We start from the raw sequence: 25900 nt of genomic DNA, 5'->3' as shown, positions 1-25900 counted from the left end.
GTAACAATGAAAGTCCTGCCCATCTAAACCTAGACATTAACAGGACCCCTAGTTTCCACAGCCTCAGCTTCGTTCCACAGGCATAGAAGGCTAGATGACTGAAAGCCAGCATTGTGTCACTAATCTTTGCCTCTAGTCAAGCGGCCAAAGAAAACCCCAACCAGAGCACTCAAAATAAGACACCCTAGACCATGAAATCTTCTTTCATCCTTTCAGCTGCTTAAATTGATTTCAGGCTACTAACTTGGACCCTTGAGGGAGGATCATTCAGGGATAAGCTCTTTTTATAGTATGAGACCCTGCCTCTATTTGGCAATTGCTTTTGAAAAGTTCTGCAATAGACTACTAAATTGCATTTTTTTTCCCTGAGACTTCCTTGGGATCAGTGGAATTTCTCTACTTAATAGAGGAGGGCTTCAGGAAAATATCCTAAAAGAGTTCGGAGTTGCCAGCCAAAGCATCAGGTGCTGTTACCGACAAGAGAAAAGGCTTTCTAAGAGTAAATTATCAGTATTTGTTTTGCCTGTGTTTTTTCAAATAACTGCAATGTTAATAACTACATCAGCTACTGAACTAACTCTGGAAAGATCTTAAAGTTTGAAATCTCCTACCAAGCCTGGAGGAAATAATAGTCATCACCAAGCTACAAAATGTCACCTAGATTGCTTTTTTTCAGGCATGTATACTTAAAAATGCCAAGCAACTCCCAGAAATGTAATTAAGTTGTTTAGGTGAACAGAGAATGGCAGTAAGTGGCTTTTTAAAATATCAATTGTGAAGGAAAAATGTAAAGAGAACAAAAAGTAAAGAAAGATGATGAAAAGAAAGGGCATGTAAGAGTAATTGGAAAGGAGGTTGCTGTGAGTAACAAGGAGGCCTTTATGTGGAGAGTGTCCATTATAGACCGACATCTGAGGCTGTTTCATTATGAAGTTGATCCCCTGGAAAAAAATAATGAAAAGGTAAATTTTCCAATCAGAAAAATCTTAAGACTAGATTACTACCTGTCTTTGAAAGGGCCCTGGCGTGGTGGCTCACGCATGTAATCCCAGCACTTTGGGAGGCTGAGGCGGACAGATCACAAGGTCAGGAGTTCGAGACCAGCCTGGCCAGCCTCGTGAAACCCTGTCCCTACTAAAAATACAAAAAATTAGCCGGGCATGGTGACACATGCCTGTGGTCCCAGCTGCTCGGGAGGCTGAGGCAGGAGAATTGCTTGAACCCAGCAGGCAGAGGTTGCAGTGAGCTGAGATCGTGCCACTGAAAAAAAGTAGCAGTGAAGTTATTTAAGAGAATATACCTGTTGTTAGGAGGTTTCAGCTAAACTTACACTGACATGGGTAAAAAATAAATTTTTATATAAGAGGCCAGGCCCAGTGGGTCACACCTATAATCCCAGTGCTTTAAAACGTTGATTGCTTGAGGCTAGGAGTTTGAGATCAGCCTGGGCAACATAGTGAGATTTCATCTCTACAAGAAGGTTTTTAAAAGTTTTAAATTTATTTATTTATTTATTTATTTATTTATTTATTTATTTATTTTCTGAGACAGAGTCTTGCTCTGTCAGCCAAGCTGGAGTGCAGTGGCACAATCTCTGCTCACTGCAACCTCCGCCTCCTGGGTTCAAGCTATTCTTGTGCCTCAGCCTCCCAAGTAGCTAGGATTACTGGCATGTGCCACCATGCCCAGCTAATTTTTGTATTTTTAGTAGAGACGGGGTTTTGCCATGTTGGCCAGGTTGGTCTCGAACTCCTGACCTCATGTGATCTGCCTGCCTTGACCTCCCAAAGTTCTGTGATTACAGGTGTGAGCTACCGCGCCCGGCTAAATTAAAAATATTTTTTAAAAAGAATGTGTGTGTCTACATATGTATGTCTGTGAACATGTATACATTTATAAATATATATGAGGAGAGAGGATACAAATGTGACTAAATGTTAGTGAGAGGTGAATATAGGTGAATTGTAATAGACTTGTAACTTTCCCACAGGTTTAAAACTTTTACAAAATAAAGAGTTTAAAGAAGAATAGATAAATAAAATCGCTACAAAATAAGTTACCCAAAAACATGGTATAAGGTGAGCTTAAATTAGAGTCCTGAAAATATGTTTCAGTCTATTCTAAAACCATTAGCAGGAGACGGGCACCGTGTTCCTCTCTTGTATCACAATTGTTGTCATTAGAGATATGGCATACACGTTTGTTCACATCATACATTCCAAGTAATGCAGCACACTACTCTGGACCACGGTGACCTTTTAAATATTCTGCAAATTGATTTCCAGGCCATTCCCACTCTCCCTTGTTTATAGCCTTGGTAACCCAGAAGAAAATGAGACTGGCCAGCTGTGATTCCTGCATTTCTGTTCTCATCAGTGCTCAGAATTACATTTCTTTCTCTCCCAAAGGCTTCATGACAACGCTTACTGTTGATCTAGAGAGCAGCAGCACCAAGAATCTTCAATAAGGACAAGTTTAAGAGCTATAAGCAGTTGTGTGGACTCCTTAGAGGTACTCGATTGAATGAACACCAGTAGCAGCAGATTTATACTTTTCTGTATTGTAAACTATGACAGTAGAATTACAAACCTCTACAAAACATAGAGTGCACACAATACAGACAGACAATATATCTAGTGTTTGAAACCACAATATATCCAGATTATTATCTTTTTTAGCATTAAATCACTTTTACCTATTTTCATGATTTTTTAATCTATCAAAATGCCCTTTCTTATACTAAATTTATATGAATGCTGATCACAGTAATCCATGCTATGGTCTAAAAATTCTACAAAAATCCCTACCTCTGACATCAAACTGAGGTAATGAAATAAGAGGAGGTTGGCACCTGCCTTAAGCTTTGTGACTTGGAATTCCCTGGCAGGCATATATTCCCATAAATAACCAATAAATATAGAATCAAAACAAGCTGAGTATATCCAATTTCTTCAAACTAGCTGCCTTGTTTCTGTTAGGACAATCCTGATTTTCTAGTTGTAGACAGAAAAAAAAAGTTAGTGGTTGGTCAACCCTTACACAGATTTCTTATCTATTGGGAAAAACCAGCAAAAATAGGAGAATTAGCATAAAAATAAAATGGAATGGAGAATAATTTTTTTCACGGGCTTGATGATACAGAGAAAAGATAAAGTTAGAAAAATGGAAGCATTTCTTGCCACACAGAGACAGTACAAATAAAAATTCAAGAGGGACTTGCTAGGTAGAGACTCCAAGAAAAGACTGTTGTTCCACTTTCTTTCAGGAATCCAGAATTAGGTAGGGGAATTTCTACTTCAGTAGCTCAATATATAGGAAGAGGAATTATCCACTGAATTATCCTTATCAGTGGATATAGAGCCAATGAATAAGTATAAAATATTATAAATGGAAAGCTAGTATCACCCCTCATTCAGCCCTGTAGGGAGTCTAATTGAATATGTGAAAAATTCATAAACATGAGAATTTTGTGCCTCAGATCAACAGTTCTTCATAAAATTTCTCCTCTGAAGAAAATTCTGTTTATTTCCATGCATTCAAAGTTCCTAGTTTTAAATGGGAAGTTACATGGAATAAAAAGAGAGAAGGAACAGTCCTGAACTCTCGTAGTAACTAGTGGTGGATAGAGTGTACAATTTTACTTTTCATTCCATCAAGCATAGTAACAAGAGCGTACCTTTTTCTCTTACTAAGGGATTGGAAAGGGCCAGCTGGGGAGAGATTTCATTAGCTTCCAACTATTGGTTATGGGCTTCCATTAATGCTTTTGGCAAGGTACCTTTGGGAACTAAAAACTTAACACAGACCGACTTATTGATTTGTTTACTCCACTCGTAGAATGCCCCCTTTCTGTAGATGTTGGAAGTTCAAACATAGCAAAGTCAACATATTACAAATAATGTGGATAATGGGCAAATAGGTACTAAGTGCTAAAATAACTCATTAAAAATAGCATGAAGACAGCTTTTCTCCATAATCTCATCTAACCTAAAGCTACTTGTCAATGAATATAATCCCCAAATATTCAAAACATATTACGTTTTATGTAATATATATATGTGTGTTATGTATATCAAATTTTATACACACATACATATATAAAGGTATTTTAATCTATATTTTAACTCTGAGTTACTGAGTAAAAACTTAAACCTCTGAGCTCCTAATATATTAAAATGTACATGTAAGTGTTCACTCTACATGTTTGATAAGAATGAGCTATCATATTTCTGATCTGCATATGTTTCATTAAAATCATTAAAAAGCATTATTTAAATGCTTCCTTATTGGCCCCCAAATAGTATCAAAAGTATGTATACGTGTGTATGAGAGACAGTATGTGTGTGCAGAGGTTTAGTTTGATTTTCTACTCTCAAAAATTATTTTCTGTTTACTAAAAAGAGTCTATAATTTAGCTCAGTTAGGACCCCAACTCTGTGACAAATTGTGGCACTTCATTTTGGACCCCCTGACATTTTGTTCACTGTGTAACTCTTCTGCATAAACACTGACTCAAGCCACAATCCACAATCCAAGACACTGTAAGAATGGATGGAAACAGAATCATGTGATGTGAAATGCAGAGTCATATCTCAGCTCCTATAATAACTGTCACAGAAGAGCAGATGTGAAATGCTAATGTCTGTCTCCTTGATGTTTTGCAGACTAGGAGGTTTTCCTGGTAATTTATAAACTTGTTGAAGTTGTAAGCACTTACAAAGCCAGTTTCATTATCAGCTCTATCAAGAGTCGTACCCAAAAAGGGGGTACTTACTACTTGTGTCAAACAACTGTGTTTGTCCTATGTTAATACCAATTATCATTAATCAACCTAAGAATCAAAGCTTATTTAAGTCCCCACCCTTAATTGTAAGCAGTATCCAGTTACAATGTCAGCTACTGGGGCTGGTAAAGATTATATCCTTTATAAGAAAATTGCACTAATAGCTTTCTATGGTTTAAATATGTATCCCAAAGTTCTTCTGCTGGAAACTTAATCTCTAATGCAACATTGTTGAAAGGCGAGACCTTTAAGAGGAGATTCAGTCATGAAGGCAAAGCTATTATTGTGGGAGTGGGTTAGTTATTACAGGAGTGGGTTCTTGATAAGAGAATCAATTTAGATCCTTTTCTCTCTCTCACACTTGTGCTCCCTTGCACTTCTGCCTTCTGCCTTAAGATGATACAGCAAGAAGGCCCTCACACGATGCTGATACCTTGATAGTGGGCTTCTCAACCTCCAATAACTGACATAAATTTCTTTTTTTTATAAATTACCTAGTCTGTGGTATTTAGTTATAGCAACACAACATGAACTAAGACAGAAAATTGGTACTGAGAAGTGAGGCTGTTGCTATGATAAATATTTGAATATGTGGAACTGGGTAATGGGTACAGACTGAAAGAATTTGGAGGAGCAGGCTAGAAAAAAGCCTAGATTGCTGTAAATGGAGTGTTAATGGCAATTCTAGTGAGGGATCAGAATAGGAGAGCTATAAGGAAATTCTGAAATTTATTAGAGATTAATTAAATGGTCATGACTAGAATGCCAGTAGAAACATGGGGAGTAAAAGCCTTTCAGATGAGATCTTAGAAATAAATGAGGAATGACATATTGGAAACTGGAGGAAAGGCCATCCTTGTAATATAGTTGTAAAGAATTTGGCAGAATTGTGTCTGTGTCCTAGGACTTTGTAGAAGGCAGAGCTTAAGAGCAATGAACTGGGATATTTGGCCATAGAAATGTCTAAACAGCAGAGTGTTCTAGGTGCTGTGTGGCTTCTTGTAGCTGTGCACAATAAAATGAGGAAAGAGAGAAATTGAAATATGGAATTTATAATTAAAATGGAAGCAGAACAGAAAGATTTGGAAAACTATCAGGCTGGCCATGTAAAGAATGAAAAAGAATGTTTGGGAGGGAATGCTGAGACCATGACCAAGCTACCTTTTGTTAAAGAGGTTAATATGAATAGAAGAAACCTAGGTTCTATTCATCAACACAATGGGAGAATGACCCTGAAGGCATTTCAGAGATCTTCGAGACAACTTAGGAGGGCAAGGTTTCCAGAGAGGTGTCTTGGGACCTCAGCATTTGCTACCCTATGCTACTTTGGGACTCTGCTCCCTGAATTCTGGCACAACTCCCTTTGGTTACCCTAGCTGTGGTCCAAGCAGGCCAAGTGTGGCTCATGCTGCAGCTCCAGAGGGCACAAGCAGTAAGCCTTGTCAGTGTCCACATGATGCTGACTCTGCAAACATGCCAACTATGCAGGCTGTGGCACCAAAGTGACCTCCACTTAGGTTTCAAAGGATGTATTAGACAATCTGAGGGTCTTGGCAGAAACTTGTCACAGAGGTAAAGCCACTGCAGAAAGTCCCCACTAGGGCAAGGCCTTGTGGAGCTGTAGGAGACAGGCCACTTCAGAGACCCCAGAACTATAGAGCTGCCAATCTGCAACTCCAGACTGGGAGAGCTGCATGCATGAGACTCCAGCCCATGAGGGTTGCTGCATTAACTGAGCCCAGCTAAGCCATAGGGGCAGGACTGCCTGAGGTCTTGGGGTACAAACCCTGCCCTAGCGTGCCAGGATGCAGGACATGGGGTCAAAGGAGACTGTTATCCATCTTTGAGACAATAGTATTTTCCCCAATAGGTTTTAGGTATACTTGGGACCAGTTACCCCTTTCTTTGTGCCTATTTTTCCCTTTTGGAATGTAAGTGTCTATCCTATGCCTGCTTCACCATTGTATTTTGGAAGCATATGTAATGTTAGTTTCACAGGTTCACAGCTGGAGAGAAATTTGCCTCAGGATGAATCTTGCCTTTAGTCTCACGCGTATCTGACTCAGATGAGACTCCAGACTATAGGCTTTTGAGTTAATGCTGGAATTAATTAAGGTTTTGGGGCTGTTGAGGTGGAATAAGTGTATTTTGCATGTGAGAAGGAAATGAATTTTAGGGGCCAGGGATGGAATGCTGTTATTCGAATGTATCCCCCAAAGTTTATGTGTTAGAAACTTAATCCCCAGTGCAACAGTGTCAACAGGTGGGACCTTTAAGAGGTGATTAGACCAAGAGGGCTCTGCCCTTCTCAATGAACTAATGCCATTATTGAGGGAATATGTTCGTTATCATTGGAGGGGATTTCTGATAAAAGGATGAGTTTGGCCCCTTTCTTCTCTCTCACGCTTGTGTTCTCTTGCCCCTCAGCCTTCTGCCTGAGATGATGCTGCCAGAGGGCCCTTGCCAGATATTGCCACCTTGATATTAGACTTCCCATCCTCCAAAACTGTGAGAATTTAATTTCTATTTTTTATAAATGGCCCAGTTTGTGGTATTCTGTTATAACAACACAAAACAGAGTAAGACACATCTTAAGAACGTTTGTATAAGAACCATTTCTTTCTTAACAATGCTACCAAAAAGAATATAAGTGGGGAATGCCCAAATAATATTTCATTAATTTGAAAATGAAGCAAAATTGGATAAAAATCCCATAGAAAATGAGGTAAAGGTAAGAAAATATTTGGTCCTTTCAATTTCTTTCCTGAACCATGAGATCCTAAAGAAGTGATGAGATTTTCATGAGGAAAAGGTTAAAGTTATTGCAGACATATATTTGCTCCACTGAAGGCAAGTGCAAACCCTTGGCAAAGCACATATTTTGAAACATCTATATCCATAAAATTTACTCAGGAACATAAGACTTCCTTTGAGAACTTTAAGAGATGACTCAATCAATATATTCATTTGAAAACTGAGATTCAAAGTCTTTAGTCAAGATTTATGACCATTTTATTCCTTTATTTTGCTAAAATTTCCACCAGCCTTTCTACAGGCTGTTACATCCTGATGTCTGTGGGAGGTTTCCAACTCTGTTTTAAAGTTCTGAAGAGTGTTTACAGCATGTTATTTCTGTAGACCGTCTATCTTTTGAAATGCTTCAAAACTCTTTAATAGGAACTCACTGTGAGGATATACTCTACCCACAACAGTTTATTATACTTGTGGCCAATAAATGAATTTTACATAAATGAGTTTAGAAATAATTTTCAGGATGATAACCAATAATTTTGTGATTTGTGTGTTTTCCAGAACTAGTATAATCAAACCAATATTACATATTCTTCCCTAACCTAGTTCTTGAAATCTATTGAGATTTATAACACCTTTAATATGCAAAGAACTTTACTTCTTGCTTTGTCATTGTAACTTCATAATTTAAATAAGTATTTTCTTCAGATGGGTCAGATTTTCTAACTTCAATATATTTTATAATTTGCTTAAAATATTTGCGTGTTGCCAAACTGTACACTTAAATGTATCTCAGGATCTCATGTGATAGAACAGTTGGAAGTCACCTCTCAAGAATAATCAGAATATTTATTGTTGATCTACCACGTGCAAGGCAGTGTAACCCCACTACAGAAGACTGCAAAAGTTATAGAAAACCATGCCTGCACTAAAAGAGTTTCTATCTACATGGGATGACAGCATATGATAATGAAACACTTAAATAGGACTCCTAGAGATTATATGCTTCAAAATGAGTAGTCTGTCATTAAGAACAATCAAAGACAATTTTGCAACTCTTAATTTGGACGTCCTGAAGAAAAAGGTCTAAACTGAGCTTGAGACGTTTAACTAGGCCTTACAGAGTATTGATACTAAAAATGTGGCCCAGAGGAGCAGCAATACATACATCACCTGGAAGCTGGTTAGAAATGCAGAATCTTGGACCCAACCCAGACCCGTGGATCAGAATCTTCATTTTCAGTGGATCCCAGGATCATTCATATTGCCCATTACATTTGAGATTGCTCTGTAATGAAGGAAGTTAATACTTGACCTGGACATAAAAAAACTAAAAAGATGAAGTTAAATTCAGAGTCAGAGTCCAGATAGTAATGGGCCTTGAAAGTTCAATCTGAATTCATGTTTGTGTTTTGCAGTGATCAAGTGTAAAATGTACTAAAGAAGAGATATGTGGGGAACAAAGAGACCAATTAGAAAACCATAGGCTGAAGAAGTCACACCATTCATTTTGGGAGTTGTCCATGTAAGAGTTTTCTCTCCTATTAAAAAAAAAAAAAAGAGTTAAAAGCAACATTCTTGCATGCACCCAAAAGAGAGAAGCTATTCCAATTGATCAGTGTCTGAGATTCACTGAGCTTTGTCTTGCTAGTAAGCCTGAATTCTATTCCTTCACTAAAGAACTATCCTGTCCCTCTTGTTTCTGTGGAATATGCACAGCAGAGCAGACATTGCACATCCTGCCCACTGAGGGGAAGGTGGAGGGGTAGAGGAAGCCTACAACTCTCTTCTCTAGTTTATATAAAAATGGACATACTAGGCAGCCTGTGGTCTTTGTGGGAAAGCTGATTGGTCAAGTATTTCAAAAAATGCATAGTTTTTGTGTGTGTCTGAGGACCAAAGTCCCAATATTAATTCATATGGGAGGTAAGAGGCCCCTCCTCAAACCAATACCTCAGAATTTTGGATTTATAGGAAGGGAAATCACATAATACATCACCCAAACTAGGAAACCATTGAAGATAAAGAGAAAACTATTCAAAATTACACCAGGATAACAGGTTTAAACTGAGATTATCCTGAGTAAACCTGTGATATCCTATAAATTATAGTATGCTTGCATATGAAATTAGTATAAAATGCCTTGGCCGGGTGTGGTGGCTCACGCCTGTAATCCCAGCACTTTGGGAGGCCAAAGTGGGGATGGATCACCTGAAGTCAGGCGTTCAAGACCAGCCTGGGCAACATGGTGAAACCTCATCTCTACTAAAAGTCCAAAAATTAGCCGGGTGTGGTGTCACATGCCTATAGTCCCAGCTACTCAGGAGGCTGAGGCACGAAAATTGCTTGAACCCAGGAAGTGGAGGTTGCAGTGAGCCAAGATGGCGCCACTGCACTCCAGCCTGGGCAACAGAGTGAGACTTGGTCTCAAAAATAATAATAATAAATACATAAATAAATAAATAATAAAAAAATTCACCTTCCCCATAATATCTTGAGTCCCTAGTATCTTTATTAGTAGATAGTCACGTATATTCTTCTTGAGAACCCTCCTTTCATCAACTAAAACCCTCAGCATCCACGAAGCCCAATTTGCACATCCAATAAGGGTGAACACTGGACTCTAGTACACTGTGGTTCTTGTTACTGTGTGGTTGGAACTATGGAAGTTGGGTTCTATAAAACTCAAAAGTCAATGCCAACCCATTTCTGAAATAATGACCTGATAACCCAGCTCCAGGCTATGGTCGTTCAGCATGGAAGCAGGAGCCCGTTCCCTCAGTGCTAACACAAGGGCAAGGGTACCCCTTACTTGAGTTTCCAATGCTGTAGCTCTTGGCTTTCAGTTCTTTGGGGTCTGGATTGGTTCAGTGTGAGCCACTCAGAGACCACTTTCCCTTTCCCTCCCCAGGTTGTTGGGGATCTTTTCATTTTATATTCTCCAAACACAAGGTTGTTACTCTTCTGAGGAATGTAGGCCTCTGTCAACCAAAGGTGGTTTTACCCTACTATGAAAGAACCCCTATATCTTTGGGGGATGATGAAGGTTGAGGATACCTTTTTTGATTCCAAAGCAAGTTTTTGGCACGTCTCTTGAGAGAAATTTTTTTTAAAAAAGCTAAACTCTAGTGGGATACTCTTCTATGCACAGATTAATAAAACTGAAATGTGTCTCCTATTTGCCAAGTGAGCATCATTGTGATCCATAAAGACATGGAAAAAGATTGTAATATTTGTGTTGGCTATAGAAATTATGAAAACGATGGAATAGCAACTAGAGACATTTTCTAAGAAAAGCCTTACTGAATCTAGAGATTGATTAGGCTTCTTAATAAACCAAAAAATAAAAAAGGGAAAAAAATCAAGCAAAAAACAGGAGTTTTGACTTTAAGTGATGAGAATAATACTGATGCCAAGAGGAAGTGGGAGTTAATGCAGCTGGTTTAGCATCAAATATAATTAATCGAATTTGAAAAATATTGGTTTTGTGCTAACAGTAGGACATCTGAGTGGAAATATCTAACAAACAATTTGACTTTGTTTGGTAAGGAGATTAGTAGTTACAATACAGAGTTGGGAGTCTTTTGCATCTTAGAGCATGGGTTGTAGCCTTGTGGATGAGCTCATCAAGGGGAAAGAGTGGGAAGAAAAAGATAAGTCATCAAAGAAGTCAAGGCAAGTGTGGTCAAAGAGAGAACAGTGTGGTGTGTGACTTACAAATGGAGACAAATGCCAGTGTAACACAGAAATCTGAACAGAGAGAAACCATGGAAAACCGGAAGGGGGAAATTCAACTGGAAGTAAAGAGTATTAACTACTATGGAGAGATCAAAGGAGCCAAAGACTCTGGAAATAAACCCTTGGAATTTATACAAGGAAAAAAGGTACAAATATCGGAGTACCAGCTATATGCTCAGTGCTTTTCCTTATGTTAAATATTTTAAGAACGAAGAGTGTGGCAGTGACTTTGGAAAGAGAATTTTGGCAGGAAAGGAGTGAACAATAAATACAAAGTGGTGCCTTGGGGGAATAGTGAGGCCTAGCTAGAAATTTTTTTTGTTTTGTTCTCTTGTGTCAAGATAGAGCAAACTGCTTGTTTGAAGGCAGGAAGAAAGAAACCTCTTGAGAGAGAGATTAGAGGGAGTATGATAGAAGCTAAGTGATTGCAATGGCAAATGTTGAAAAGTTGAAGTTTTAGTATTAATTAGCAATCTTGAATCTTCATGAAAGAGTTAATTTTGTTTAATTATGCATGGAATGAGTCCATTTTTCTACATCACCTCTCCTTGTCTCTTTGCCCTTTACTTTTATGGCTTTGAATTCTTAGAAACAAAGTCTTTTTCATTATATTATATTCTTGTGAACAGTTAATTAGTTTTAGAAAGAAATATGTATTTTGACTAATCAGCTTAATTGTTCACCCAATCTTACATTTATGAATTATTTTTTTAACCCAACCAGGGAATTTCAAATCTTAAAAAAAAAAAACTGGATGTTGTTCACATAATATAGTAAAAACAGTTTTAAGTTTGATCTCATAGAAGTGATACTTCTATATCCTCAAATCATCTTTCCTCTTAACACATTGTCTGAAAATTCTATAAATGTGTCTGTGAAGTGGAATAACTACTAGAAAGCAATTTTCTCATTTCTTACATTACTGTCTTTCAAATACACCAAGTTATTATAATGCAATATTCAAAACTGGCAGTTTATTTCCTGTATTCAGAGTAAAATATTGTTTTATCTAAACCAAAAGACAAGTACCCTGTAGTCCTCTTCACTCCTCTAAGCACCAGCAGCCCAATTCTCCAGGACTGAGATCCAGTCTCAGCTGCATCAGCTGCTCTCTTGATATCTCTTGGCTAACCTCCCATGCCTAAATGTCCCTTGGGCAAGATAAAATTTCAGTGTGATAGGATATCTTCTTCTCTCATAATTAAATCCTACCTTAGACATGCAGATACAATAGCAACTTCATCTCTGCCCAACAGCAAGACACTTTTGGGTGATGATAACTAAGTAGAGTTACTTCCTCGGAAACAAAAAGCAGAGGCTGTCAAATGAATTACACGTGGCCATTTCCCTGTTGCACTCAGAAAGGAGGCAAGTGGGCTGCCAAGGAAAGAAGCAATAGTGCTTGATTTCTTTGCCACAAAAAATATAAATAAGAGGAAAACTCAGTCAACAACAAAATCTAGTCTTGCTTGAGCAATAGGAGTGGTACTAATAATAATTGAAAATAATAAAATTGAGCCAGTATCAAAAAATATATTTATTAAATTTAAATTTAAACTGGCTTTTCTGACTTGAAAAAGGTAAATATATAAGAAAAGTAATAATTATAAAAGTATTTCAGAAGAAATGTCCTATAGCTATCTCACAAGCTTATCGAAAGAATCTTATAGGCTATTGATGTATGTGAACTTTATTTGAAAATTCTAAAGTGCTATATTAATGTTATTCTTTGCATGAGAAAATTCAAGATATTACTATTACTATTAGCCACAGTGTATCACAGGCCAGTTGTGCAATCCACTCTTAATCAATGTTAAAATGTTTGAAGGTGTTCACAGTGGTATCTACAAGGTTTATTTGTAATGTTAATTATAGAAATCTGCTTGTTATTGCTACAGAATAACCAGATGTCAATTGTAGTATATTATTATTTGGAAATTGGTAAACCTTAAAATTTTCCAGGAATATAAATTTCAAAGGTAATTTTTTTCCTCTTGTCATTCCAAAATTATTCATCAAATATTATGCAAAATTCTAAAAAAAAAACTTTGTTACAATCTCCCTATTGTGCCTCCCTTGAAGTATTAATGTCAAATAATTATAAGGTTCTTTTGTACTCTAGTAACACAAATTATAGGCAAAGACTTCAAAATAGTCTAAAGAAGTACTTCTCAAATGTAATGTGCATACAAGTCACCTGGGGATCTTGTCAAAATGCAGATTCTGATTCAGTAGGTCTTGGGTGGGGCCTGAGATTCTGCATTTCTAATAGCTCTCAGGTGAGGTCAATGCTGCCAGTCCAGGGTCACACTTTGAGTAGTGAGAGGCTAAAAAGAATGATCAAGGTTGGCCTGTAATCCCAGCACTTTGGGAGGCTGAGGCAGGAGGATCACTTGAGCCCAGCAGTTTGAGACCAGCCTGGGCAATATAGTAAGACTCCATCTCTACAAACAATAATTTTAAAAATTAGCCAGGCATGGTGGTGCCCGCTTGTAGTCCCAGCTACTTGGGAGGCTGAGGTGGGAGGATCACTGGAGCCCAGAAGGTTGAGGCTATAGTCAGCTGTGAACACACCACTGCACTACAGCCTGGGTGAGAGTGAGCCCCTGTCTCCAAAATAAAAAGAAAAGGAAAGAATTATAAGGTTTGGTGTAGAGTTCTCCAGAGAACCATAGGTTGTATACTTATATATGCACGGCTCACATGATTATGGAAGCTGAGCAGTTTCAAGATCTGCAGTCAGCAAACTGGGAACCTTAGAGAGCTGATGGTCTAAAAGCTGGCAGGCTGGAGCCCCAAGCAGAGTATGTTTCAGTTCAAGGTCAAGGCAGGAAAAGACCAATGTTCCATCTCAAGCAGCCAGGGAGGAGGAGTTCCCTCCACCTTTTTGTTGGATCAGGCCTTCAACTGATTGGATGAGGGCCACACACATTAGGGGGAACAATCTGCTTTAGTCAGTTTACCAACTCAAATGCTAACCTAATTCAGTAACATCCTCACAAACACACCCAGAATAATGTTTGACCAAATATCTGGGTACCCTATGACCCAGTCAAGTTGACACATAAAACTAACCATCCTAAGTGCTATTGCTACTCTAACACATATGTTGTTTATTTCAGTCAAGTGGTAATCTAATTAAAATAATTTTAATCAAATTATTTAATCTTTGAAATCTAATTTCAAAGAATTTCTTTCAAATGCCTAATTTATTATGAACTGACCTATAGTAAGTTAAGGACATGAATAATGTTGGTTGATTAGAGTACCTGCCTTTGAAAATAATTAAAATAATCCTTCTTATTTAAAGAAAGTAAATATTTATCTCAAAAACAGTTTTAGAAGTTAACATAGTTCTAATGTAGGCATATATTGCATGTCTTTATGAAAGTTGTATTATGAACTGATATTAGAAATATAAAATTAAGTCATACAAGACATACATTTTATAGTAGAAGGATTATCATAAAATGTATATAAAAATTAATCTACTTCTCTACTGTAAAACTTAGGGCCTCTAATATCATAATTATTAGCATTTCTGTATGCTGATATGTAGAGGTATATATCCTTCCATGCATTACAAGAGGTAAATATATTCATTGAATTTAAATTGTCATATAATACTATTAAGATATATCATTTTGAGTATTGTTAAGTAAGAAATAATAATACCAAATATGACATGATGTTTTATTAGTCATTTATAATTTTTTAAATACTGACAGTGCTGCAAACTTATAGGTAGAGTTTCGTTGTGTATCAGCCACATGCATATATAAAAAGGCAAAGGTAATTGATTACAGTATTAACAAAATTTCACATTTAGAATCTGACTCTCTGAATAACTTTTCAAACTAAGATTCGCTATCATTTTTTATACAATATTTTTTGGTGTCATCAAGAGCACTGCTGACACAATATTTAAGAGTGTTTTACTATGGTCCCTATAATATCATCTCAAGCTACTTGTATCTATTATGGAAGTTTTGATATTGGCACTTTCTTGACTAGAAGATGTCAAAGAAGTTTCCAGAGATCAGGCAAGGACTCAAATGGTCTGTAAAGTGACTGAAGCATCCAGAAGTTTTCATTATTCCAAGAATAATAACTATGTTCACTGATATGTAGACAAGTACAGCTATGTCACACCTGCTGCTTATAGACACACTCACACGCACACACATACACACACACACCATTTTAGAATCAGTGGATACAATGTCTTCTCCATACTTGTTTCACCAAAAAAGAACCCCTCACTTTTTAAAGAACTGTCTCAATGGACTAGTATTGAATGAATCTTATTTTTGGTAAATTGTCTCTTTGATGCAGCAGTCCCCAACCTTTTTGGTACCAGGGACCAGTTTCATGGAAGACTATTTTCCCACGGACATGTGGGGCATGGTGGCAGAGGGGCTGTTTTGGGGTGAAACTGTTTCACTTCAGATCATCAGGCATTAGATTCTCATAAGCGGTATGCAAACTAGATCCCTCACATGCATAGTTCACAATAGGATTCATGCTCCTGTGAGGAGCTAATGCCACAACTCATCTGACAGGAGGCAGAGCTCAGGTGGTAATGTGAGTGATGGGGAGCGACTGGAAATACAGATGAAGCTTCACTCTCTCTCTCACTTGCTGCTCACCTGCTGTGCGGCCCAGTTCCTAACAGACCACAAACCAGTACCAGTCTGTGGCCTGAGGGTTGGGAACCCCTGCTTTAATGTATTCCTTCTTTGCCACTAATCAATAATCAATATATGCCATTACATTTTGGCATAAATTGATTTAAAAGATTTGTTTTTCTCTTAGTATACAACCCTTCTGAATTACACATCATGTTTATTTCTTCTCGCCTCTGCCCTTCCTACAGCATTTAGAACACCATTTTCTATACTTTAGGTGTTCAATAAAAATTCTTAGATGAAGGCCTGGGATTGAGCATCATAGGAATTTTCCCAGCCTGCTTCTGAAACAAGTTTAATTCTCACATTCTGTATTATAACTAAAATTTTCTTCCTAGAAATGCCTATCAAAGAATTTTTGCCTTTGAGTTTCAAATAAATATTCACTTTTCATGACATACTCCAGTGATCATTACTAAAACCCTATTTCAACGTGCTGGTGTTTGCAGACGCCTCGTAGTGGAACAAGCAGAACATCTGAGTTCTAATCATAGCCCTGCCATTTGCTGTCTAAGCACATTTGCTGCTCTGGGCTTCAGTTTGCCCCTAAGTCAAATGAAGACAGCACTTGTCAACTAGCTTCATGGGGTTGTTTTAATAACCATTAGGAAAAAAAATACCAAAATCACTGTAAAGGCTACATAGTGCTAGCCCTGCTTTTACCGTGCGTATTACTTTAAAATTTCAACTCTCCATTTGGCTTCGATTTTGTTATTTATCTGACATAAACTATAAGCTCCCCAGAGAAACTTTATGAGTACCTCCAGAGTATCCTTGCCACTGAAAAACATCATTAAACAATAATACTCATGAAATTTCTGAGAACTATTCTATGGGAGATAATAACCATAAAAGTATAAAAGTGGCTCCCCTGTGGCTCAGTGAACTTCGCTATTGTGGACTTCCTACGATATTAACTAAAAATCAAAGATTTGCTTTTGTTTGCATTAAAGACATAGGAATAGTAATAATGAAATCATGTTGTTACTATTAAAGGATTCTTAAAGTATAAAATTCCTTGACCGACTTTATCTTTTTGAAACTTTAAAAAGGCCTGGCAGGTATCAACGTGTTTTACAGATGAGAAAACTAAAGCTTCAAAAGGTTTACTTCCCAGGATAAATTGTCTTGCTCACAAATTCATGGCAGAGCTAAGGTTTTAATCACACAGTGCTATAGGCTTTCTCGTGCACAAGGATTTCTCAACCTCAGCACTATTGACTTTATAGACTGGATAATTCTTTGTTTTAGGGGAACTTCCCTATGCATTGTGGGATGTTTAGAGCATCCCTGGCTTTAGCCACCAGATGCTAGTAGCACATCCCCCTATATTGTGACAAGAAAAATGCCTCTAGATATTGCCAAATGTCTCTTGGGGGACAAAATTGCCCCCAGCTGAGAATCTGTCATAAATCACACCACTTTTTCTTTTCTTTTCTTTTCTTTTTTTTTTTTTTTTTGAGACAGGGTCTCATTCCTGTTGCCCAGGCTGGAGTGCAGTGGTGCAATCATGGCTCACTGCAGCTCAACTTCCTGGGCTCAAGTGATCCTCCCACCTCAGCCTCCTGAGTAGCTGGGACTACAGGTGCATGCCACCATGCCCAGCTAATTTTTGTATTTTTTATGAAGACAGGGTTTTGCCATGTTACCCAGACTGGTCGTGAACTCTTGGTCTCAAGCATTCCTCCCACCTCGGCCTCCCAAAGTGCTGGGATTACAGGCGTGAGCCACTGCGCCCGGCTCACCCCCGCCCCCTTATATACTATATATACTAGTACCTATATAACTTTTCATAAATAACTTTCCTGTGCTTGATCATATGATTTAAGGTCAGATAGCAATGAGTACTTCGAATCAAAGTGTATTAGTTTTCTGTAGCTGCTGTAACAAATTACCACAAACTTGGTGGCTTAAAACAAGAGATGTTTTTTTCTTCACAGTTTTGGAGGACAGAGTGAAATCAAGGTGTCAGCAGGGCCACATTCCCTCCAAAAGCTCCAGAGGGGAATCCTTCCTTGCCTCTCCCAGCTTCTGGTGACTCCAGGGTTTCCTTGGCTTGTGGCTGGATAACTCGAATCTCTGCCTCCATTTTCACATGGACTTCTCTTCTGTGTCCCTGCCTCTTCTGTCTCTTATAAGGATACTTGTCATTGAGTGTAGGACCCACCAAAGAATCCAGCATGATCTCATCTTACAAAGAAAGTCTCATCACAGTTTCTAGGTGGTCCAGTTAGAGGTGTTTTTTGGGGAGCCACCATTCAACTCACTACATAGATCATACTGTTTTTCCTAAGAAGTCAAAACACTTTCTGGATAATCTATCATCACATTAAGTTCATAAATGTTCTAGAAAATAGGAGGATACAAGTCAGAATATGAGACACAGAGATTAAGGGCAAATTTGCTAAAGTCAGTGAGTTACAGATTTACTAAAATAACCTTTGAGTCTATGTTCAGGACCTTCCTCCACTGGGTCTGTTGCAGAATGGTGAAAAGAACCACCTGACTTGCCTCCTGCTGTATGAACCATAAAATTTACAGGGAATTCTGGTGGGAAATTGAAAAGCAAAAGAGAACATAGCTGGATTTTCAAATCCTTATGTTGATTTTTTTAAAACTCAGCTGTAGGCTTCTAATATCAACAAGATTTTCTGACACCCCGTGAAAGAAAACAAACATAGAACTCCATAAAGCCATATAATAAAGTTCCTTCTCAATGTGTAAGTGTCCTTTAAAATTCCTCCCTGTATGTGTTGCATGTTAATTTTTTAAAAATCTGTGGTTATAGAGCCATGAACAAAAATATAGAGCATTAGCTTTCATAGTGCACAATATTAATCACACTTTCATATACCAAGACTGATTCTGCAAAAACACCATGAGATAATGCTCACTTAACAGAGCTTGGTCACAGAGTAATGGTCTGCTGATTTCCCCTAAAATATTACATTTGATTTTTTGATACCTCTGCATTTTCATTCTAAGCGATGTTGACATTTTAACCAGAATATCCAGTAAGTTATGAATCACCAGCTGACACCAAATGACTCACTTATAGAATTACAACCATGATGTGTATAAAAAGCCTTTTTAAATATATCATAACTGAACAATCTCCTTCTTGATTTCTCTTGCAGTAGTCATACTCTGCCTTCCAAAGGCTCACATGAAGATGGCCAGTCACTTGCTTATTTTTCTTATATTCATTTACAACCGTAAGCTGTATTCTCCAAATTATATCCTTATTATATCTTTTGTCACATGTCCTAGATTTTATCTGAACATTTTTTATTTATTAAAAGGTAACATAGTCACATGGTTTGAAATTTGTTTAAACAGCATGTAGGGGCATAGGATGCAAACAGTAAGTTTCCTACCAAGCCCAAGTCTCTGTCCCAGTCCTGGGAAGCAATCTGTGTTAATAGCTTTAAGCGGATCTTTTCGGAAATATTTTATGTATACTGAAGTCTCCCTTTAAAGAAAGCCCTTTTCACCAAAGCACAAATCATTCTTACTTAATCATAAAGTTCTCACATTTTTGTATTAGACCACAGTCTCTGACAAGATTAACCCTAACCTATGCCAAATCTTCTGAGTAGATTTTACATTTTTTAGACCCAGTAGGCAACATCTCACTACATGGTAAAAGAAGCCTATTTTAAAAAATATATTGCTAATGAATAATATTCAGCAAATCTTGCCCTTAATGTCCTGTGTATCATAGTCAGCTCAATCAAACTTTGTAAATGCCTTTTTAGTTTTATTCTCAGAGCAAAATAATGTATCTTCTTAAAATCAGATTCCAAATGACAAATCTCTTCCTTCAAAGATAAAATATTCGCAGCATTCTCTATGATATATTTTGAGAGATCACTCAACTCTTACCATTACTTTGATTTTTAAGGGTAAGGTTGTTAATGATCTTACCTATTAAAGAAAAAAATCTAAAGATATTCGTAGGTCAGATTCAGATTTATACTAGATCATAATAAAGCTGCACATTACAACTTTAGGAACTAACACAGGGCCTGAAAGAAATTAGGCAAGATTCAAAGCAGTGAAGGTTTAGTTCTAATAGTATCATGATATGTAGTAGTATCACAAGTATTAATATTACGAATGGCACTAGAACTGTTCCTGGGCTACAGCTGCTTTGTGCTTTTTGCTATAGATTTATTATAAAAAGGAGCATGAGAAGGCCTAGCAAATGTTTTGTAATCTTGCCAAGGTGCCTGAATGCTATGGCTGCTGCACGCCCATGAGTGTCCAGCAAAGATGGACAAGAGGGTTGGGTGTGGTTAGAAAATGTGGCCTGATTCTGATTCCCTCCCTCCACCCACACACGCACATTGCACACACATGTTTTCAGTCAGATCCTTCAAGAAGCAAATACCAAAACAGAATGATACATGTAAGACATGCACCAGGGATCTACCTGCAAGAGAAAAGGGGCAGAAGCTGGGAGGACAGTCAGATCTTGATGCAGGTCTGACCACAAGTGAAGGAGAGAGAGAGAAAGATTGGATGGATGTATCTTAGTGTCTAGTACATTCTAAGAACGTTTGGTGAGGCTGTGGGGATAGAGATAGTGGAAGGCGAGAAGTCCTCAAGCCAAAGTTGCCTCTCAAAGGAAGCCCTCATCTCTAATTGGACAGGTCTGCCTCAGTAACCCAGCTGCGCCCAGTCATTGGCAGGCGCATGCTGTGGGAAATGTGGCCTCAGCACAAACTGGGTGATGAATTTCAGAGTCCAGCAATTGGAGTCCTTAGTCAATGATGCTCCCTGCAATTGGCAATATGAGAAGCTCATTCTCCTGGCGAACACACACACTTCTCAGATGAGACCCACTACTGCAAATATGTCTTAGGCTGATCTCTAGATCCATATATGTATATATTGAAAATATTTGTTTTTAGAGTTTCAGCATAATTCTCCAATTCTCAGGTTGCTGTAAACAGATTTCTCTTTGTCAAGACAGCAATTGATTAAGCTAATTCACGCAAAAGACGAGAATGATTTCTATGCTTCCTGCTTATTCTTCCAGAAGCTTTAACTTGCCAAGCTGAATGGGTCTTTCATTGGTGGACGTATTTTTATTGAAGTAAACTTGAAATACAAGAAAATGCACAAATCTTAAGTATAAAATTTGATGATATGATATCCATTCATACAACCACCCCAAAAAGCTCCCTCATGCCTGCTTCCAGTCCATTCTAAACTTCCCAGAAACAACCACTATTCTGATTTCTATCAGCAGAAATCAGTTTTTCCTGTTGTGGAAGTTCATATAGATGGCATCATACAGTACTTTTTTGTGTCTATTTTTCCCACTTAATACCGTATGTCTGAGATTCATCTATGTTGTTTCAAATGCAGTCAGTATTTTACTTTTTACTGTCTAATAGTATACCATTGTATGGATATACCATTTGTTTATCCATTCTATCCTGTTGATAGGCAGGTGAATTTGGGTTGTTTCCAGTTTAAGGATATTGTGAATAAAGCTCCTCTGAACATTCATGTGAAGTTTTTGTGTGAACATACTTTTATTTGCGGGGGGATCAATCTGGATCATAAGGGAGTGTGTATTTATTTCATAGGAGAAGAATTTCCCAATGTTTGTGTAATTTTATACTCCATAGCTGGTGGAAATTTAAGAAGTATCAGATGATATTTTAGGCCTTCTCTCAAATCGACCCCAGCTAAATAAAAGAGAGTTACTGGCAGGGCTAAGAGAAATAATTCACGTATCTATCTCTTCTAGCCAAAGCATGCAGATGCTCCAATACCCCATTTTATGATAGCAAACAGATTTCAGGAAATACTAAATATTGCCCAAAGTCAAACAGCTGATAAGTGCAACCAGAATTCAAACCCAGCTCCATTCCCTCTACAGCAAAACCAATGGTCTTCTTCCTAAAGAAACTTCCAAAGCACTGAAGTAACCCCAGCTCTAACCATTGGCAAGAGACAAGAGGCAAAAAACGGGAGAGATTCACAACACAGTGGCAATCTCTTCTCTATTCACTGTGGAAGAGGAGGGTGAAAGACCACCAGCTTTTCCCTAGAGATCTTTCCCAAGTATATTTTTCAGCTCCACCCCTTGTTTCGGGGGGGAAAAAAAGACTTTGTTAAGCAGATGCTTCTTAGTTACCTATCTGGGATACCCAAAAGGAGCTTTATGTCAACCTCATTTTTTTTTTCCCACCTCCTCAGTTTGACCCTAGGAGATTGTTATTGTTACTATTACTGTTACTGCCAATTAAAAGACAAGGAAACAGAATCTCTCTGTTTCCCTTATTTGTCTAGGATCACCCAGATTAGTGTGTCTTTCTCATCCCTTAGTTTTTGGCTTCTGGAAAAGAGAGACTATTACCTTCTTGCTTTAATACCCTCACTGCCAAGCATCCTGCAGACTAAAACCCAGGCAGACAGTCGATGGTGAATGACTGAATGAATGAATGAATGGGTGGGTGGATCCAAGCCAAGTCTTTTGGCTTCAGGATCACAGGTCTTTTCATTAGGCAGTATATACTAAAACCTTATTTTCCTCATTTTTAAAACCAGAAGACTGGACAAGATAACCTCTAAGATTTTGTTCAATTCAGAAAGGCTAGGATTCCATCGGTCTATGCTCAATACAAACCTTTAAAGGAAAAGAACAGAAATTTTATCTGACAATACCTTATATTACCAAAGAGAGAGTTCTGAGTCCTTGAATGCAGGAGAGAACCTACTGTGACTAATGAGTAAAAGGTCCCTTGGGATAAAGTCTGTCAAGAAACTAAAAGCTAATCCAAAGGTGACTTTGAACACATTCCCCTTCTCAAATAGCACAGGCTTAAAAACCAGATTTTCACTCTTTGTGGGGTAATGGATAGAAGTTCTGAAAAATCATTTACATGAAAAATATAAGCACCTTATTTGCATATATGATAACAGCATTTGAGGAAAAACAGAATGTGGACATATAAATTAGTTTAGGGAATAAGAAGAAGAAAACAAACTATGCACCACACACATAAACAAATGTTCAAAAAATAAGTAAAAGAAGATCAATCACCTCTTGTTTATGCACACAATTCCAGATGGTCCCTGATAGTGTCAGGCTCTTCTCTTTGGTTCTTTGTTAATCTTATTGCTGTGGTGTTCCCAAGCATTGCCACCTGTTTGTATGGTTTTAGGCATTAGATTTGAAGACATTCATTTTGCCAGGTCATTGTCCCTGATATCAACCAAAGTCCTTTGCTAAGGCTGAAACTCTCAAAGAAATGAAGCCCTCTACTTTCTCTTCCTAAGTAGAAATCATGCATCATAAGATTCCAATCCCTGCTTACATTTTCATTCCATTTAGGCAACTGATAAATTAAAAGTGCATTTTCTTGGGTGTGAAATATCAACAATTCATGATTCAATCCCTTTTCTCTACTGCACATGAACAGATTTTAAAAATTTAATCTGTGGGTATAGATCACTCTGAACAGTAGGCTTCTCTGATATGTCATTTTACATAATTTAATGGAAACTGTGGCTTGCAATCCACTGGGAATATAATATTACCATCTTCAAAGTGTTTTTTAGATCCAACACTCAGTCTCTCATCAAGCTGAAAGATCTTATGCAAAATAATAATAAAAAGACCTCAAAGGTCCCTTCACAGAAGCAATTAATACCTTTAGAATAGGCTGATTTCTCTCTGTTTGGGAGAAGGTTTCATTATGTGCAAATTGTGCATTCATCCTTCAATTCAGAATCCTATTGTTTCTGAAAACACAATACTCGTGTTCCTGTGGAGAGTAAAATTGACCCTATTTTTGATGTCTTGCATAGCTCCTATTTGGATACTTTAATGTGTTTCCCTGTATGTAATGACAGAAAATACCATAATTAATTTTCCGATAAGTATTAACTTGAACTGAAAAAAATAAGCCAAAGACAAATTATATCATTCTAAATGGACCTTCCAACTTCAAATCCCTTCTTAATTATGTCAATGGCTTTTCATTATTATTGGGGGAAAAAAACAAACCTGTGCCTCTACACCTTGGTACCACATGCTCTCACAATCTCCTTCCCTTCAAGGACATCTTGCTGTTCCTTCCCCAATTCTCTGTGATCCACCATACCCCATACCTGCCTACTTCTGATTTCTCCACAGTCTTTGCTTCTACCTACCATAGGTATTTCTAATATGCTGAAAATCTATCCCCACTTCTTACCCCCAGAGGTACACTACTCTTTAATTGGTTAAGGATACTCTTCCATTAAATTCCAGCTCCATGATCATGTTCCTCAGGAAAGCTCTTACCAGGTGATATGGTTTGGCTGTGTCCCCACCCACATCTCACCTTGAATTGTAATAATCCCCACGTGTCAAGGGCAGGGCCAGGTGGAGATAATTAAATCATGAAAGCAATTTTCCCCATACTGTTCTCCTGGTAGTGAATAAGTATCATGAGATCTGATGGTTTTAGAAATGAGAGTTCCCCTGTACAAGCTCTCTGGCCTGCCACTATGTAAGATGTGACTTTGCTCTTCCTTCATCCTCTGCCATGATTGTGAGGCCTCCCCAGCCATATGGAACTGTGAGTCTATTAAACTTCTTTCCTTTATAAATTACCCGGTCTCAGGTATGTCTTTATTAGCCACATGAGAATGGACTAATATACCAGGTCTTATCAGGTCTCATTTTGTCATTTGTTTCTCCGTAACTACACTGATCAAAGTAGTAATTTTACTATATTTGTGTGATTCTTTGATGAATATCATCTTCCCCATTCCATAAGGCAAAAACCATAACTTTTTTGTGCTCATCAGTACATCCTCTGTCACATAGTGTTCAATACATGTATTTATTCAAGAAACTAAAAGTTTTAAAGTTTTTATGTTCTTTAACCTACATAAAGAACAAACTTCAGTGTGGAAATCCTATGCAAGGAAAATTACAAGATATAGAGAAATGTTTCTTTCCAGTAAAGACATTGGAGGAGAACACTAACAGAAGTCAAAGGGAAATCTAATTAATATTGGCTTTAAAGAAGAAAAATTATGCAATTTTGTTGGAGAGCAAAGTAGTCAGGTACAAGTTGATTTGATGATTCTATATCAAGATCCCTGGTGTTTTGCTAGGTCATTTGTTTAAAATGACTCATTCTTCCTTTCAAGCAGCAAAAGCTCAATCTCACATTCAAAAATGCCCGTAGCACAAAGGTTGCTTCAACATTTGGACTTGAAGGAAAATATTTATAAACCTGTGTATGAAAATATATTTTCCTCTGACTTGCCTTTGTGCTCAGGCCCAATAAATATCCTGTTTGTACACCCTAAAGGCTCTCTTGAGATAGGTATGGGCCAAGGCCTGAAAGTGGCCTGTGTCTCTTTTCTCACATTCCATTGGTCATAACTCAGTCACATGCAAGGGGGGTTAGGAAGTTTAGAAAAGCAAAATACCAAAAAAAAAAAAAAAAAGAAAATTTGAAATAGCTAGCCAGTTTCGGCCATAGTGTCCACATCTCCTGACCCCACATTCCTCTGAGATGTTATTTCTTTGCATCAAAGATATTATTTTCAATCTCTATTTATGGACTTGCTGAAAGTTGATTCGACTTATAATTAATGTATTTGTTTATTATTCCTAAGAATATTTTCTCCAACCATTGTGCTTCGTAAAATGCCTGCCACGAATTAGTTATTAACCAGGAATGGCTTTTCTCTAAGTCTGACATCCTCTGCTGTGAGTTGGCCTCATGTGCTTTCCTGCCCTGTAGTAAGTAGAGGGTGCTTGAAACATTCTCTTCGGCAGGAGAAAGGGAGCTAAATATGAACTTTATCTCCCACTGAATAGAAAAATCCATTAAAATGTCCCCCAGTGGCAACGACCACAAAGTATTTCTTTCTAATTATCTTATCCCCTCATCTTACAAAATATGACCAATATTTA

The 25900-nt window shown here is 37.7% G+C and overlaps 1 long non-coding RNA gene across 6 annotated transcripts in view; it reads left to right on the top strand.

Annotated features, from left to right (window-relative positions):
• Positions 1-2206: 2206 nt before the first annotated feature.
• The window catches only part of LINC02464 (long intergenic non-protein coding RNA 2464), a 97632-nt gene continuing 73938 nt past the window's right edge, over positions 2207-25900 (top strand). For all 6 annotated transcript variants that reach the window (NR_187539.1, NR_187543.1, NR_187542.1 and 3 more), the window contains exons 1-2: positions 2207-2511; positions 7211-7291. This is a non-coding gene — a long non-coding RNA (long intergenic non-protein coding RNA 2464). The remainder of the gene's footprint in view (positions 2512-7210; positions 7292-25900) is intronic.

The sequence above is a fragment of the Homo sapiens genome, chromosome 12, assembly GCF_000001405.40.
Source record: "Homo sapiens chromosome 12, GRCh38.p14 Primary Assembly".
In the NCBI taxonomy this organism is placed as follows: Eukaryota; Metazoa; Chordata; class Mammalia; order Primates; family Hominidae; genus Homo; species Homo sapiens.
Note: the sequence above shows the minus strand (reverse complement) of the source record. Positions and strands in the feature narration are given on the sequence as shown.